At 47.0% G+C, this 18442-nt stretch overlaps 1 protein-coding gene across 28 annotated transcripts in view, besides 2 other annotated features; it reads left to right on the top strand.

Moving 5' to 3' along the window:
• The window catches only part of ARHGAP22 (Rho GTPase activating protein 22), a 226435-nt gene that overhangs the window by 66729 nt on the left and 141264 nt on the right, over nucleotides 1-18442 (top strand). For 25 of the 28 annotated variants that reach the window (NR_045675.2, NR_144644.2, NR_144646.2 and 22 more), the window contains one exon: nucleotides 6385-6584. Coding sequence is in view for 22 of the 28 variants with exons in the window: in XM_024448100.2 (XP_024303868.1) it covers nucleotides 6385-6584 (200 nt within the window). In the remaining 6 variants the exon portion in view is untranslated. Of the gene's footprint in view, nucleotides 1-6384; nucleotides 6585-13878; nucleotides 15303-18442 lie in introns of those variants that run through there. The other 3 variants (NM_001347736.2, XM_024448106.2, NM_001347737.2) reach the window with 1 other exon arrangement.
• Nucleotides 12088-12137: an enhancer, noted in NCBI's record as "active region_3331". NCBI's record gives its function as "activates an Ori minimal core promoter by ATAC-STARR-seq in GM12878 lymphoblastoid cells {active_cell/tissue: GM12878}" and the evidence as "EXISTENCE:reporter gene assay evidence [ECO:0000049][PMID:35858748]".
• Nucleotides 14508-15009: an enhancer, noted in NCBI's record as "NANOG hESC enhancer chr10:49782573-49783074 (GRCh37/hg19 assembly coordinates)". NCBI's record gives its function as "activates a minimal SCP1, AML or CMV promoter by ChIP-STARR-seq in primed H9 embryonic stem cells {active_cell/tissue: H9 hESC(primed)}" and the evidence as "EXISTENCE:reporter gene assay evidence [ECO:0000049][PMID:30033119]".

Genomic DNA, 18442 nt, shown 5'->3' with positions numbered 1-18442 from the left:
GAATTTGGACATAGGCCCAGATAACCATGAGACATTTCTCTGGAGTGTCCTGCAGATGGTTTGACACATGAGTCTGAAGCTCCTGAGTAAGATCCGGGCAGAAATAACGCCCTGGGATTCATAATGAAATAGAGACAGCTGGGACAACCCTGGGCAACAGCAGGATTTGGGAGGATGGAGGAAGTTGAAGCCAGAAGCAGGCTGGGGAAGCGGAAAGAAACTTGAGCAAAAACGCTGGTATTTGGGCTCTGCAGAGGGGAAGGAAGGAAGAGCTTCCAGAAGCAGAGGGTGATTAATAGTGTCTGAGCCACCACAGGGCATCGGAGGATGAGACCCTGAGATCCAATTCAGGTTGGATTTGGTCAGAGCAATATCAGGAGAGGCCAAAATCTCTAAATGCAAGGAGTTGGTGGGGACTGGGGGGTGAGGAAGGAGAGGCAGGTATGTGGGCCACCCTCTCAAGATGTGCCTGTCAGCAAGAGTAGGTGACAGCGGCCCCTCGGCACACGCAGTCATGTGAGCCAAAAGATTGCAAGTGCCAGGCTAGCTTCTTCCTCCCAAGCCTGAGCCCCACCTCCCCTGAGGTCATCCCACACTCTAGTATCCTTCGAGGCCTGGCCTGGGGCCTCCCTCCACGGGGTGGAGGGACCTCAGCAGAGGTCTATAGCAGAAAGGTCGGCACCTCAGGGTCAGCATCCACAGCCTTTGCCTGCCCCACAAGGCCTGTGCTCTTTCATCCCTCCGTGGTGGTTGTGATTTACTTCCCCTGCCAGACTGCGGGACCCCACAGGGAACACCATCAAGTCAATTGGGCTCTGTACCTGGAGGAGCTCCATAGATTTGGAATAAATGGATGAGTGAATGGATGGTCCTGCGTGTGCATGGAAGAGCCACCTTTGGGAAGGGTGGAGGGTGAAGGGCACCTTCCTCCTCTCTGGGCCCTGAGCTTGCCTGGGCCTGCTCCTGGGGACCCTCCAGAAACTCTGATCTGTTCTGGAGACTTAGAATGCCAGAGCTGTTTGACTTGAGGCCTGGTTTAAATATTAACAGGACCAAATAAATTGATTAAAGGAAGTGCTGAAGACCGGAACAGCAGTTATTAATAAATCATAGCAATGATTATTTTCCTTTCAAGAAGCTCCATCAGCCTAATATGTGTGTGATTGATCAGCTGGGGAAAATCCTAGGCTGGTTTTGCAGCTTCAGTAGCATCTGCAGGAAGTGCTTCCTTGTCAGAGGGACTGGAGCCAGCCTTTCCTATCCTGCAGGGTGGGGCAGGTGGAACCCTCGGGGATGCCTACATCTACTGAAGTAGAGACCACCCAGAGCTTCCTGCCTACCCTTGCCCCAGTGAACATGGCCCCCCATACCTGCTCCCTCCTTACGTGAAGCTCTCAGGAGGCCTGATGCCTGGGCCTTGGGCATCAGGGCACAGAATGTGCCCACCTTCTTTGTCTTGCCACATTGACTACAGGCCAGTCCCACAGTCAGCCATGTATTGATTGTGCAAGATCCTGCTCTCAGCCAGGCTCAGCATCCATGGTCCTATGCACAGGGAGCTCACCCTTCTTGGGGCAGGCATGCCTGGACAGAGAGCACCTCACAGACATTGTCCACCGCTGGGACAGAGGGTGCAGCAGTGCTCAGAGGAGCTGGACTGTGCTGATGAGTTACCGAGTTTTTGTTGAGCTCCTAATGTGCACCAGCCCTGCACAGGATGCTATGGGGGATGTGGAAAGAAGAGCAAGTGCATTTAATGAACCAGCTTCAGGCCTTGTTGTAATAGAAGACAAGAGACAGAATCAGGGATGTAGCTCTAGAACATTCCATGACTTCAGTCCCCACTAAAGACCCCAAAGAGTACTCTGCAAACATCTGTGGAAGGACAAAATGTTCTCCATAGCCCTTGAAGATTCTCTGATAAGAGATAAAGGAGAATTCAAGAATAGACAGTGGAGACCTAAGCCAACCCATCAGCTCCAGAGACTCCTCACTGCCAGGGGAAACAACATCTGCCAAGTCTCATGGTAGGAATCTCACTTGATTAAACAAAAAAAAGCCCAGGCACTGGTGACCTAATTTGACTAGCAATTCTCAACCCATTGAAGGAATTTTAGAGATGAGCAAGTTGAGACCCAGATAAGAAAACTCAGTAATCAAAGGGGCACACCTCTCCCTGTCCTCCTTAGTCCCCTGCCAGACTCCTCTCGAGCCCAGGGGTCCTGATAACACTTGTCAGCTCCACCTCCCAGGGCCTGATGCAGCCCCAACCCTGGAAAGGGACTGGTGAGTGCTGCTGAATCCAGCCCTGCTCAACCCCTTGCTGGCTTGAGATGGAGAAGGGGAGGCAGCAGCCCTGGAGCAGAAAGGCCCCTTCTGATGCTTTGGGTCTCTTCTGGCACAACCCCACCTGTCTTATCAGAGGCTCGGCTCACCCTTATCTGGGCAGGGTGGTTTCTTCCAAGTCTGTGTCCTCCACACGGGGCTGCTGAGGTTGCAGAGCAGCCAGGGCTGTGCAGCACAGATGCGGGATAGGGTGCTACAGGTGTCTGGAAATACAGGTGTCTGGAAATTCCAGGCTGTAGGAAGACTTGCAGGGAAGGTCTGGGGCTCCTATGGAGAGGGAAAGGGGGCCCAGTAGCTCTGGGTCTCCAGGACTCCAGGATTGTATGCCACTGAGTTTGACTCAGTGCTCCTCCTGCTGTGGGCAATCAGCTAAATGGGCAAATGGAGCGAGCAGACGTCTCATACAATTGGTAGAAGCCCGTGCAAAGATGTTCCAGTTGATTAATCACCCAAAATCAGAACAGCTAAGACAATAACTACGTGCCATTTTATACCTACTAAATTATGGAGTAGGAACGCTCAAATTATACTATTTTATGTTGGTAGTGATGGGGAAAGTGGCACATTGGCATAATTGTTTGGTGTAATACAGCCAAATGCCATCTCTAGAAGGCAGTGTATAGTGACATTTAAAGGGCCAGGGGCCAGAGAGTGGTCCATTCTCTGCCCTGTGACCTCACTGCTGGGAGCCCAGCTTTAGGAAACAAATTCTGCATGGAGACATCCACTGCGCCATCTCCATTATCCTAATCCTTATCACCATAGTAACCCATTACTAGGCACCTGTACGTCTAAGCACTCTGCAGTTATGCTGTCTCCCCTCTGCCAGCTTGCCCTGCTGGGTGAGGTGTTGTTATCTCATATGGGCCCAGTTTTCTGACTGGCAAACTGAGGCACAGAGAGTTCACAGAGCTGGCAGTGATGCAAACTCAAACCTTAGTCCAAAGCCTGTATTTCTTCAGTTGGGTCCCAACGTCTTTTTAATTAAATAACTCACATTAAGGAGAGTGCCAATACCCATCAATGTGAGAATCTAAAAGCAATGTACGGTGTGTCCATTTGCAGGGATAATAACCAGCCATAGATATAAAGGAGGGAAGCACACTCTAAATCCACATGAACAAGTGCAGGGACCAACCCCACAGAGAGGAGGGAAAAAAAGTGCCGATCATTCTGAAACACAGATAAGGTGAAGCTCAAGCCCAGTTTCAGGGCGCTGTTGGGCTTCAGAGGGGGCTGTTTTCCTTGAAAGTCCTGGGCCATGTGATCCACACTCAGCTCCCTGATTTGCCTTCCCGTTAGTCTCTGGAAAAAACCCACTGTCCTGAGGAATCACCAATCCAGCTTCAGTGTTCAGGGGCAAGCATGCAAACAACCCACTTCCTCTCTGGGCCAAAACACAGCCAAGGCAAGGCTAGAGCATTCAACCCCAACCTCTCCAGCAGCAGAGGGACAGCAACAGAGAATCAAGGTGGAGCGGGTGAGGACCTAGACAGTCTGACACCAGGGTGGCTAGTGGTACCCATAGATCTATCACAGCTGCTTGGGTGCCAGAGAGAAGAGATGAGGCCTCCTGTGAATGCTGCTGTTGTCCATGAGCAGCAGCCTGTCTGGAGGGGACAACCCCTTCCAGAGCAGGGGCCTGTGTAAAAGTGATAGATTCAGTATTATACCCCAGGCCATATGACAGTTGAGGTGAAGGTGTGAACATCAGTGTTGGAGTGATTGGACCCAATACCAGGCTGTGGGAGCGATGAAGTCCAGCAGAGTCAAAGGAATGAGAAAAGACAAGTTAAGAGAGAAAGTGGGATCAGGGGGCCAATGTTAGTATGGAGGCCGTGAAGGCCCGGAGCTCTGGGAGCCCACACCATTTATTGGTGATCAAACAAAAAAACAGGTGGTGAGGATGTGGAGGTTGAAAGGAAGCAGTGTATCAAGCAAATGTGCTACAGCTGTGATGGTTTAGCATTTTCTTTGAAACATATGGCTACTTGAGATAATGGGAGTGCTAGAAGCAAGGAGCCAGCAAGTCTAGACACATTGCAAAGTCCACGAGGGGTTTTAGTCCCTGGACCCTGGACATGTTCCAAGCCCTGCCTCAGCTTCTCTCTCAACACTCAGCTTTTCTCCCAACACACCAAGCTATAATGTGTCCTCAGACAGTGCCTGAGTGCTATGTAATTTTTTTTTTTTTTTTGAGACTGAGTCTTGCTCTGTTGCCCAGGCTGGAGTGCAGTGGCGCAATCTCAGCTCACTGCAAGCTCCGCCTCCCGGATTCAGGCCATTCTCCTGCCTCAGCCTCCCGAGTAGCTGGGACTACAGGCTCCTGCAACCATGCCCAGCTAATTTTTTGTATTTTTAGTAGAGACAGGGTTTCGCCGTGTTAGCCAAGACGGTCTCAATCTCCTGACCTCGTGATCCGCCCGCCTTGGCCTCCCAAAGTGCTGGGATTACAGGCGTGAGCCACCGCGCCCAGCCAGTACTATGTAATATTTACTGTCATGTTAAGATACAAAAAATACCTAACAATAAGGGTGACCCTAAGTATCCAGTGATATTTGACCACCATGACTTACGTCTGTTCCTTGCCCCCCACAGTAACGAGGACACGCATGTAGAAGTGGGTAAGACATCATCTCCTCCAGTCCCCACCCTTCAGTCCAGAGTGGCAGAAAGACAACCACACAGATAATCACCAGCCATGGGCCACCTGTCCTGGTAGGGGAGGGAGTGACTATTTGGAGGAGATTCAGAAGGAAGCCTCCATGGAGGAAGTGTCCTTTGAGTTGGCTCTTGAAGGATATATAGGAGCTCACCATGCAGCTAATGCCAGGGTATGGATGGAAGAGGGATGGAAGAAAAGTCCAGGCTAGTGGGACCACATGGGCAGAAGTAGGCCAGGCTTAGAGAACTGCAGTCACTAGTGTAGTGGGAAGAGCTTACACCCACACACACAGAATCACAGATACAGTGCAAGAATTGTAGGTCACAGGCACTGTGCTTTCCAATCACAAGTTAGGATCCATGGCCTAAGAATTACAGGTGTGATTACATTTGAACTCAGAATTATTTCTCCAGAGTTCAAGATGGCCCCTCCTAGTGATCACTGTGGCAATGGCCTTGACACTGGCCAGAGAGAGGAGAGGAGCTTCCCTGGGGACAGAGGAGAATGAAGGAGGGGGACAGAAGGGGAAGGAGTAGGGGCAGAGGGGACAAGAATTCAGTCATCCCTGTGAAGGGCAGCACCAACCTCGGTGGGGTGTGGCTCAGCACCATCAACCAGAATAAGGACCTGCAGGGCTCACGGGCACTCAGAGGCTCTGGGGTAGGAGTGCTGGCCCCTCTGCCCTGCCAGGAAGCCACCAACAAGGCACAGCAAACAGCTGAAGAAGAAGCCCCGCTGTGGGATGTTCCCAGGGAACAAATACAAAGGCTTTGGGGGCTCGGATGCCTCCAGAGTAGAGGGGCTAAGCAGAAACCAGATCTGGGTGGGGCCAGTTCCTTCTGGACCTGAGCAACAGGAACCCTGCTAGACTGTGAGCTCCAGGAGGATCCAGATGTTTATCTGTTTTTTATTTCACTACTTTGTCCCCTGGAAAACTAGAACGGTTCTATGCACATAGTAAGAAATCAATAAGCAATGGCTGAATGAATAAATGAATCGTTGAACAAATGAACAGGTGGATGGATGAATCCGTGGATGAACAGGTGGATGCATGGATGGATGCATGGTTGGATACATGGATGCATGGATGAACAAATGTGGAGGAATGAAGAACCTAGGATCCCAGAGACAGAGCAGAAACTAACCAGGTGGGCAGGCTGTACCCCTACCCCAGGGGGATCACTGCAGGCTGCTGCACAGATGCTCCAACCCATGCCCCTTCAATGCCAAGGGGAAGTAGGCCCAGCTGCTCACATCCTGCTGGCCTGGGCTCCCATGCCTCAGTCACGAGGCAGCTGGGACACCAGGATGGGGGCAGGACTGATAGCAGGCACGCTGCCTTCATGCTCACTCTGTGTGTCCTTGGCTTTCAGCCCGCTCCAAAAGCCTAGTGATGGGGGAGCAGAGCCGGAGCCCTGGGCGGATGCCGTGCCCTCACAGGCTGGGCCCCGTGCTGAAGGCGGGCTGGCTGAAGAAGCAGAGGAGCATCATGAAGAACTGGCAGCAGCGCTGGTTTGTGCTGCGTGGGGATCAGCTTTTCTACTACAAGGACAAAGATGAGATCAAGCCCCAGGTGAGAAGTGCATGTCCGGTGTGCCGTGGGCATCGTGGCAGGGCTCCACAAGAGGGAAGACCATGCCCAGGAGAAGGGAGGAAGGCACAGAGCCACTGACTCCATCACAGTGATGTTTTGCCAGGATTTCCAAAGTAATTTTCATTCTTATCCCCCATGTTCCTGGTATCACAGCCTGTTTTACTGGAACATGTCCACAACTTCTGCAATGAAAATGTTTCCTTAAAATGTTGATAGAGAATGTCCTTGTCCAACTTAAGAAAACAACGTCTTCCATGTTCTTTTTGGCCCCTTCATGCTTCCAAGAAGGACATACATGCACACATTTCATTACTTGTATCTTGCAGGAAAATGGGTCACCAGACACATCTAGCCTCAAACTGAAACCTGGCTCACTCTGAAGCCCTTGCACCCATCCTGCATAGGGTTTCTGTGTCCAGCACTGTGTGACCCACATTTTAAGAAGGTGCTTTAAATATCTGCCTTTCATCCAAATTGCACTAAGTTTACTCCCTCAGAGCAGCTAGTAGCCTCGCCCATCACAGTATAGCCTCGTCACAGCGGCCCATGCAAACGTCATAATGAGGTACTCTGTGTGCTGCCATCCAAGACACCTGGGCCAGAAGCACTTGGGCAATCCAGTCCCTGTGATGGGTTTCAGAGAGAGAAAGGGTATCTCTTGGGGATAAAACAGGAAGGGACCTTAAAGGACTTGTCCGAAAAGCTGCTTCTAGTCATGGGTCCAAGTCAGAGAGGGCAGATCCCCTGTTCGGTGTCACAGGTCACGGAATCTTGCTGGGAAGGGACCTGGTTCACATCCCAGCCATCCCCACAGCTTGGGGGCAGAGAGGGGACTCTGGGATGGGCAAGGGGTGAAGGGGGAGCTGGGCATGAGAAAATGTCCCTTTCCTCTTTCAGTTCTTCTAAGCATGTCAAGGATGAAGTGTCAACCCTGTGAGCCTACCTTTGACACTTCTCAAACACTTGGATCCTCCTTTTAAACAAAATATGGGGGCACAGGGGTGAAAAGGGAACAGGCCTCATCTTACTTAGAGCTTTCAGTGCAACAGGAACTGGCTGCTCATGAATAACTTTCTGTCTTCGTTCTGTCCATTCCAATAGCTACCTCTATGGAAAGTTCCCGCTTGTGATAGAGATACCAAGTTTTCCTTTCTAAAATACCGTATATTGACGTTAAAACCAAAAGTGTTTCACAGCAACGTGAATGCACTTAATGGCACTTACCTATATATTTAAAAGTGGTTCAAATAGTAGACTTTGTGTTACACATACATTACCACAATAAAAATAAATTAATTAGAAGTAAGACTGCTTCAGGAAAACTTTTACACAAATAATAGCACAGATGAAATGTGAGTATGACAAAAATCATGAAGGTGGATTCAGAAAACCCTGATGTTGTCCAGCCTCCTTGATTGTATGAGAAAGGAGAACTCTAAGTAGTTAAGTGAGCCAGATAGGAACTCTGGAGTCAGCTAGATCTGAATGAGACCTAGCATGCTAGCTGTGCAGTGTGAACAAAAGTTTTCTGAAACGGAATATGGAGGAAAGAGACTTTATTCCAGTGAACAGTTTGCAAACTGGGGAGACACAGCTTCCATGCAAAAGGTGAAGGTGTGTTCCAGAGAACATAAAGGAGGGTTTTATAGCAAACGTGCCAGCCCAGGTTCCCAGTCAGGTCTGTTTATGCAAATGAAGGATTTGGACTTATTTAGTTCTGAGGGATGATACAGCTGAGCTCTGGAAAGTGAGTTCTGATGGGTTGGTTCAGGAGAACTCTGATTGGTTGGTTCAGGTGAGATCTGAAAGTTCCAGAATTAAACAGGAGTCTGGTCTTTGGGGGAAGGCAGAGTACATGTGTGATCCCTACTCAGCCAATGTCCACTTGGCCCGATTTTAAATTTAGGTCCAGTTAGCCCCTGGGGACTCATCTTGAAGGACTGGCTGTTTCAGGTTCACATTTGTTTACAATGGGGAGTCCATTTTTTTTTTTTTTTTACTTTAGATTGTATCATTTGTAAAATGGAGACAATATTACCTCCATCACAGGGATGAGCTAGGGGTTAAATTGTATAACATACACATAACTGGATACAAATCCTAGCACACTGGATACTCAAATCTGAGCCAACAAGCCCACCCAGCCCTGCCCTCACCTGGCCACCAACTGCCCCTCAGGCTCACTCCTAGGCTAGGCACCACACCTCTGGTTCCCCACAGTCATTTCCTTCTGGCCTCCCAGTTTTGTAGACCAGCCTTGGCCCTTCAACAGTGTCTTGGCTTTCCTGGCTGACCTGTTGGTGATCTGTCACTCTGATTACTGTGAACGGAGTTGCCAGAGTTGCTCCCAGCCTTTCAGAGCCCTGCCTGGACCCTTACTGTCACCCTCCTCCTGTACCAGCCCACAGCACTGCCTCCTCGGAACAGGACTTTGTGATGCTGGGAGAGCCCGGGTGCTCATGACCCTGAGGCCACCCAGGCCACACATGGACAGAGCCTCCTCTGCCACAGGCTTCCCCACGTATTCCTTATAGTGAACCTTGAAGTGGCCCTGGGAGCCCTCACCCATCAGCTAGCTCCATAAGGAACCTCTATCTCCTGAAATTTCTGAGCCAGACACTCCTCTCCCTCCCCTGCCACGTTTTCCAGACCTCCACATCCTCTGGTGGAAGCAACTAATAAAATGGAGGCATGGACATCCACAGTCACAAGCCTGGACACAAGAGCAGCCCTCAAGCCCAATCTAAACTGAACCAGGGCATTTATTGCCAGGGAGCACGTTGAATCATGAGAGGGGCCAGTATCTCCCAGCAGATGCCAGCATCTGCCCAGAGCTCTTGTGGCCTTTCTGGGTCTGGCTGGCACTCACTCCCAATTCCTCTTGGGACAATAAAACTTCTTCCCATTTCCCCCAACAAAGCCTGGCTTCTATGGCACCCCACTGCCCAGGTTCCCAATCTCAAGGCAACTGTCGGTCAATTTTGATTCATTCAGCTTATACAGTATGATCTCAAACTTGCACAGCTGCTGGCAACATAGCCTCACAAATTTCTATTTAATTGCATGAACGGCATGTAATAGACTAATTCTCAATATCTGGTTCCTGGAAAAATATGCCCTGCTCACTGTTCTCAGTGACAGGGGGCCCAGGCGGTCAGCACTCTCCTGTAGGACGGGCTGCACCAGCAGATGTAACTGTCCGGAAGAAGGATATCCAGCCATGTTTGATGCTTCGCAGAGCTCACAACACAGGAGGAGAATCACTCCCAGCCCACATTCCTTGTTCTCTCTCCAAAGCCCTATCTCTTCCCCTCTCCCCATCTTGCTGGCAGGAGGGTCAGCAGAGGACAGAAAGCATAGATACAAGACAGTTCAAGACGGAGAAAAAGGAAGCAGCTTGCACAAGCTCAAATGGAAAGACCAGGCAAAGGCATGTCACAGCAGAGCCTGGAAGTGCACCCTTGATCCTCCAGCTTTTCCCAGCACCTGTCCCTGAGGGTTTCCAGCAGACAGATCCCACAGTTTCACAAGTAGAGGCTTCCAGGTTTTTTAAACCTTAGTGATTTTAGCTTGTGTTTGGAATGTTGAGTCATGAAAACTCCTGCCACATTCTTTGTTGATCAGCCTGGTCTATTTCCACTGTTGGGAACTCACTTTAAGTCTAGTTATCTCGGTCCTTTATTTGTTGTGGGTTTCTTGGCTTTGAATTGAAATGGAACAAAATAGACATGGAAAGTATAACTTCCGAAACCTAAGACCAAAGGAAAAGTAAAAAATTAAATGTGATCAGTTGAGCAAATGGGACAAAATGGGGGAAAGGAAAAAAAAATAAAAAACAAGAAAGAAAGACAAGTAAAAAACTAATAAATAAGATGGCAAAAGAAGGTACAAACATTTTGTTTCTCATAATAAACATGAATAGGTTAGATTCATCTATCCCTTAAAATAGAAAGTGTGAGATTGGGTCTAAAAAAGAGAGAGGAATAAACAAAAAGATTAAAAAGCAAAAGAACGGAAAAAAAAAGGTAAGCAAGTAAATGTGAGCAAAAAGAAAGCAAATTTAGTAACATCAAATAAAGTAGGATTCAAGATGCTAAGAAAAAAGGGGAACAGAGAGATATAATTCCTAATATAGATAACCTACTGAGAAAAGACAGCAGCTGTGAACTTTTATGCTCCTAATGCCATAGCTTTGAGGAAGACATAAACAAAGAACACTCATTGTTTCTCTTTAAAAAAAAAAACTTTTTCAAAAAAATGAAATCAGAGACCCAATCACTGTCAATAATGCTAAAGCAAAAAAGACAAGTTAATAACAAAATGACATTGAGGAGAGTGTGCAGGCATGAGAGAGCGAAGATCAAACACACACACACAGACACACACACACACACACACACACACACATACACTGCATAATACTTCTGTAGTTAATGAGAAAACCAAAACTCAAATTCAAACTTCCAGTTAAGGGTGACATTTAAAAGTCACATTTGGCTCCTCCACATCACAAAACTTCATGATACAGCACTAGAGGATGTTTTTAAAGGCACAAGCACAACTAGATGGAAAGAACATGAGGGGAGAAAGCATTCTGGATGCAGGAAAACAGATGAGGGAGAGGCTGCTGATTTATTTAGCTGATCCAAGACAGCTAAATCCCAAACCAGCACAAAGGAGAGCATGGAAGCTGTCTGGTTTGCAAAACAAAACCCCTCAAAGACTTGGGGCTTGGCAGGACTAGATATCTCTGGAAATGAGGGCAAAAAAGGAGCTCAGGACAGGAGCACTGGGTGAAGGTTAACTTAAAAAAAAGCAGTTAGGGCCAGGCGCAGTGGCTCACGCCTCTAGTCCCAGCACTTTGGGAGGCCAAGGCAGGCAGATCATTTGAGGTCAGGAGTTCGAGACCAGCCTAGCCAACATGGTGAAACCCCGTTTCTACTAAAAATACAAAAATTAGCCGGGTGTGCTGGCACATGCCTGTAATCCCAGCTACTCGGGAGGCTGAGACAGGAGACTTGCTTGAACCTGGGAGGTAGAGGTTGAGACAAGATAAGCGCTACTGCACTTCAGCCTGGGCAGCAGAGCGAGACTCTGTCTCCAAAAAAAAAAAAAAAAAAAAAAAAAAAACCAAAAAAGAGCAGTTAGATCTCAGATTTTCTGAGCAATCCAGTGCCAAGAGGTGACTGCCCGCCCCGACTCAGCTGTAAGACTGGAGTTGTATGTATTCTCTGAGAATAAAAGGGAGCCCTTTATAATGGGGACTCTGGCCCTTTCTTGGTGGAATATCTTAGAGAACAGGAAGGTTGGGTGAACATCAGTGTGCAGACCAGTTCCTTAGGCCCCAGTCTCTATCCACATTTGGTTTCCAAGCCCCAGCAGTCAGGAGTAGCCCCCAGGAAGGAAACTGATGAATTTTCTCCAGTAAATTTCTCCAGAGGTTCTCCAGTAAAATGGCGGAGGTGGACCCTCCTGTGTATGCCCTCCCCATCCTCCGACGCCACCCAGTCAGCTCCATAGAGAACCATTCTCAAGTGGGAGTGATAGGCCTGGTTCAGCAGACATTTGAGGAAACACTCTCATTTGAGGAACCAAGACAAAAAGAGGAAGAAAACAAAAAGCAAGTTGCAGGCAGCAGATACTGTGCAGGGGGAAGAAAACTGTTATACAAAACTACTGTAATATCCTCAGAGAGAATCTCTAAATACGGAAGAGTCAGAGGAGGAACCGATCCCCAGAAGTCAGAAATAAGATATCATGAATAAAAAACTCCAAAGAAGGGTTGGATGAAAACTTGACACTTCTAGGAAGAAGAGGACAATAAGAGAGACAACCCAATGTCCGAATAGAAGGAGTTTTAGAAAAAGAGAAGAGAGAAATGAAGGAAAAAGAGTCTTTAGAGAAATGCTTGAAATAAACTCCCCAGGATGGGAGTATAAACACTAAATACTAACTGAGATAACCAAAATTACCATGGAGATTTGGGAAGGTGTGTGGTTGGGTGGCGGTGGGTGGCGGTGTGGGGAGGGATGGGTGAGTGGAGAAGGGGCAGAAAGCAAAATCTCACTGCCCATGCTAGGAATTCCACAGACAATGACTAAAATGTAAAATCAAAAAGGAGTAACATAAGCATACTAATTAGAAATAAATATCTTAAAAAAAGGAGAAAGATAGAAAAGAAACCTCATCTGAGACCATAGAACGTGGTGACAGATTCAGGCAATGGCAGGGGAAGAATTTGCTGCCTCATGATAAGCCGTGTAGAACTCTTGATTCTTCAAACTATGTGCAAGTGTAAACTTTCATTGTAAAAAAAAAGTGAAATAAGATGGAAATAATTTATTTTTGAGATTTTGAGCATACAAATAAGACAAGTCAGAGCCATGGGGCAGGGATGTGAGGCAGGGGAGTGAGTTGGTAACAGGGTCAGCTTGCATTTTTTCTGTGTTATTGTAATTTCTCACGTTGAGACTATCTTCATGTAAGTCCATATTTTAAAGTATTTTAAAAATTTAAACAAGAAAAGAAAAACTATAACCAAAAAACGGAATGCAGCAGGGCCACAGTGCTAGAGGTTCTTTGGATGACCAGGAGGAGAATGGGGAGGCCAGGCCAGGGGCTCCCTCTTCTAGAAAGGGCCACTGAGCCCCACGCTGGCCTCTGAAGAGGCCCTGGCATATTGGAGGTTCTTGGAAGATGTGTTTAGAATGAACCTAGGAATGTGTGGGAGGTCCATGGATGCTATGTGTCTGGCAGTCCACACCCAGTGGGGAGCCCATAGTCTCTGACGTAGGGCATAGGATGCTCATCCTACAGGCAGGAACACAAAATGCAGATGTGGGACTAGAGGACTCCTGTAAAGGGGCTTCACTGCCACACCCAGGATCTAGGTCCTCACTTCGTGGGCTGCGATAGGGGTCAGTGAAGGTTGTGGGTTGCTTATACTTGGCCATCAGAGCCCCAAGAGGAGAGTCATCCTGCAGCAGCACAGATAGGGGCTGACCAGGACCAGGCTGGAAGCAGAAAGGCCACTTAGATGGGGCTGGTGTTCTAATATCAGCTGAGGCCAAGAAAATCCTCACCATGCTGGAACAAGGGCTGGGGGCCTTGGAAGAAGCAGGGGAGGGAACATGGCAGGTGGAGTTTGGAATCCACACTTCCCCCTCCCACCTACCTGCCATGGCTGATGCAACATTATGTTCTAGAAGAGGCAATTTAAAAATCACTTTGAGAGCAGGCTAGGTTTCTGTTGTATGTTTTATTTTTTTTCCAGGAGAATAAGTGAGGGAAGCTCAGCAATAAGGAGCCATAGAAGATTGATTTAAAGTTTGATGTGATTGAGTAAAAGCTTGAGACTGGTGGGGAGAAAGTCAAGATGGATGGGAAAGCACATGCACTTCTAGGAGTGGAACATTAATATTGGACAGTCGGAAACCAGAAATCTTTAAGAAAGAGGAAACCTCAGGGGAAGAAAGAGAGGCCATCCTATCCCATAACTTGAAAGTCACAGGAATATTTCAGCCTGCAGGGAATCTTCATTTCCCACCCCATTGTTTACCAAACTTGCACGTCAAAAACAAAAACAAAAAATAAAATGTTGCTTTCATGAACTCTGTTACTCCATTCTCCCATTGCTATAAAGAAATACCTGAGACTGGATAATTTTTTTTTAAAGAGGTTTAATTGGCTCATTGTTCTGCATGCTGTACAGGAAGCATGATGCTGACCTCTGCTCAGCTTCTGGAGATGCCTCAGGAAACTTAGAATCATGGCGGAAGGCAAAGAGGGAGCAGTCATGTCACATGGCCAGAGCAGGAGCAAAAGAGAGAGCAGGGAGGTGCCACACACACTTTTAAACCACCAGATTTCGTGAGAATTCACTCTATTTTGAGGACAGCACCAAGAAGATGGTGCTAACCACTCAAGAGAAACCGCCCCCATGATCCAAATACCTTCCGCCAGGCCCCACCTCCAACACTGGGGATTACAATTAAACATGAGATTTGGATGGAGACACAGAGCCAAACCATATCACGCTCCTTCCCTGAGTCCTTGACCTGGAGTAGATGCCTGGGTTGTCTCCATTTCTCAAATGAGGAAACTGAAGGACTGACATCAGGCCAAGACTAACAGGTACTCACTCTCAGATAGCGCCTGAAAGCTGACACAAGTTCAGTGAGACTGCTAGGACAACCCCCTGCCGTGCCATTAATGTCTGCCCACAAAAACCTCACACCTTTGGCTGGCTCTATCTTCCATGGCCCTCATCTCAGCACCACCTGGGGGTACGATGAAGATGCCATCAGGTGTCGGAGCTCATCTTGTGCTCACAGCTCACAGGACCGCCCCTGTGTCAGATGCCCTTCACTTCTGGACCTCATAACCTCCACCCAGCTCAAGTTGACTTAGCAAGCCCTAACTGTGCATCCTTCATAAGCTGTAAATTGTTACTCAAACCAGCCAAGAGGATGTCACTGCTATTATTATTGCATTACTGTTTTGATATTGCTGTTGTTATTTATAACACTTCCTCAATTTAATTTCTGTTCTCCATTCTATATCATAAACCTCATTCAGGTGGGGCTTCAATCTGTCTTATTATTTCTCTTTTCCTATCACCTAGCGGTACTTGACACATAATTGGTATCCAGTAATATTGGGTGCTTACTTGAATAATTGAATGAATGAATGAATAAATGAGAAAAATAAATGGAATGAATGAGTGCATAGTGTGACCCATATTTGTATTAGATCCTCAATGGAAAAATAATTTATTGCTTTTGTAAAGTGCCTGAGAATTGGCAAAGAGCTTATTGACTGCCTTCCCTATCAGACTGTAAGCCCAACAAGGTGAGGTTTTTGTCTATCTTGTTTATCTCTGTGTCTCAGTATCCAGAACAATGTCTGACACATAGTAGAAGCTCAATAAACACTTGTTCAATAAACATTCACACAGCATCTCCACAAGGCCAGGCACAATCAATTTCCACTGTACTGGTAGAGAATGTGGGGCTCAAAAAGGTAGAATGAAAGCTTGCATACTATAATGGAAAAAACCATAATATTTGGAACCAGAATACCTGGCTTCAAGTCCCATTTATACCACCTACTAGCTATAGATTTGGGAAGATCATTGAAGCCCTCTTGTTCCTACTTTTGGTGTGGTCCTTTGAGGCTGTGGCTTCACTAAGCATTGGACAAATGGAAGTTGCTGTGGTTGATAGTGTTGTCAATGCTGCCTAAACACTCAGAGATAAGACTATTACAATTCTTAGAATGGGTTCTGAAATGAAAGACCTTCAAGAAGCATGCGAAGGCATCTAATATGAATTATAAAAAGGAAGTTGCAGATCTAGAAAACAATGATTGCCTGAACATGCAGAGCTCCCTGAGACCAGCCCTTCAGATGGTCTTCACTCCCTTTCTTGATTAGGAGTCCAGACTCGTGGGTGGTAAGTCTGCCACGAATACCTGGTGTCTAAATTTTAGCATGTCATATTACAGGATCTTGCGTGATAGAGAAAAATGGCAGATTTCTCTTGAGTAACCAGGATGGTTCTAGCTGGTAACTAGAGAAGATATTTCACTCTCTGAGCCTCAGTTTCCTCCTTGTAAGTTGAGAATAACCACACCTATCTTATAGGACTATGGTGAGAGTAAACTCATGCGGTAAACCATGTAGGAAATACCCTAGTTGTGGCCTTCTCCCCTGGGTGGAACTTTACCCTATGAAGGTTTAGCAAATCATTCAACACAATCAAACAGTGGAGTCTAGGGGCAGGCGACATGGCTCCAACCTCGCCTCTGCCTTACTTCGTGAGTTTGATCAACAGTTTGAATCTAAATAAAAGCTAACTTTTATATATCTGATGAACCAGGCTCTGTTCTAAGTGTTTTGCATGTATTAACTTGCTTTAATTCCCACAGCAACTCTGCAAGATACATGGTAGATAATCCCAAAGATGGCTGCCACTTATTCCTGCCCCTTCTCCCAACAAGCAGAGCCTATTTCCCTTCCCCTTGAATCTGAGCTGTCTTTGTGACTATTTGACAAACAGAATAAGACAGAAGTGATGCCATGCCATTTCCAGGTTTGGTCTCTGTTAACTTAAAAATCACACAATTTATAAATTTAGAAAGGAGATCTTATTTTTCGTAAAGCATTGCAACCTGCAGGCTGGCCATCTGCAGGTTGGGAAGCATAGCCTCTGGTAGACCCGGAAAGGCAGGCACTTTGAGGGAATGGATGGTAAGGCAGGAATTTGTCCTGAACAGATTAGCTAAGTAGGGTTACAGGAGGAGCTATGAATATTCACAAAGAGGGTCCTGACTCATGCCTACTGAACATCCATATTAAATGTGACTCATATTCACTCTGGAGCAGAGGCTTAACATTTAAATGCATTGCAGGCAGGCCCTATACAGCAATAGGTGAAGCAGGGACATGAAGGCCCTCTGTGTGCAGCCTCTTGTTAACTGGTCAGAGCCAGCCTATTGTTGGTGGTCTTTTATCAGGAGAAAGTTACTGACATCCATCTCTTGTCCAATCAAAGCTGTAGTTGTGACTTGTGGACCAGGGGTTGGGGGTCAGTTAGTCAAGGTCTAACGGTGAACTACAATTGTTTTAGCACTTGTTTCTTAGGGCTAGTGCCTGTTTAACTGCTAGAGAAAAAGAAAAACCTGTGGCAGTTAGAACATTGTTTATTCTTTAAGTGTACAGGTGTATGACTTAAGTGTTGGTTGGTTGGAATGGCCTTGGGTCTTATTTATAATTTGGTATCTTATTGCCATAAAGTCAGTTGTGTGATCACTACTGTAACATTATTGCTGGTCGGATGTGGTGTCTAAACTGAAGAAGGATGTAGCAAGGCATGTTTGACCTCCTATCACAGCCAGGAACTCAGTTTTTAAGGTTTCCCTAGGTTCCCCTTGGCCAAGAGTGTATTTATTTGGTCAGGTGGGGGCCTTAGAGTTTAATTTTAGATCTCATCCCTAAGAAACCAAGCATGTTTCTGCTTTGCTCTGAAAAGCCGCCACCATTCTGTAAGAATGTCTGAATGGACCACAGAATGATGAGGAAGCGTGAATGAGAGAAAAACCACACAGCCTAGATGAATGAGTGAGGCCTTCCTTCCTGGACCTTATAGCCCAGCTCAGCTGCCAAATGCAACTGTGTCAGTGACTCTGGACCAAGCTATATAGAGCAGAAGAAACATCCACTGATCCCTGCCACGGTATCATGGCAAATAACAGATCACTATTTTGTAGGCAATAAGTTTTGGAGTTTTCTTACACAGCAGTAGATGATTGAAACAATTTAGGAATGAGTACTATCACCACTGTCCCAATAAGGAAACTGAGGCACAAAGAGATTAGGTGACTTTCTTAAGATGCATAGAAATTAGAACAAGGGAGGGGAAGCCCCACCAAGCTTTTCCATGGTCAGACCAGGTCACTTCTGGAGAGTGACGGTCCCCTCAAGGCACTATATTTTCAAGAACAGGGCAGCAAGGATGGAGAGGAGTCCAAACTCATGTCCATAGGAGGAATAACTGAATAAGTCATCTGGAGAAAAGAAATCTTGCTAAGGGGCAGTATATGAAGCTCTGAATCCTTATATGAACAAGACCAGAAGACAAATGGACAGACTCCCCGATTTGTCTTCTACACTCCATTCCACACTTCATTCTGATGGAGTGGTCTACTGGGTGGTAGCGGGCTCCAGTCCCTGGTGCTGGACAAGTAGAGGCCAGACTATTAGTAGATTAAGTGGCTTGGAGAAGAGCTGACCACTGGGTAGCAAGTTGGCCAGAAATGATCTCCAAGAGCCCTCTCAA

The sequence above is a fragment of the Homo sapiens genome, chromosome 10 (genome assembly GCF_000001405.40).
Source record: "Homo sapiens chromosome 10, GRCh38.p14 Primary Assembly".
NCBI lineage: Eukaryota > Metazoa > Chordata > Mammalia > Primates > Hominidae > Homo > Homo sapiens.
Note: the sequence above shows the minus strand (reverse complement) of the source record. Positions and strands in the feature narration are given on the sequence as shown.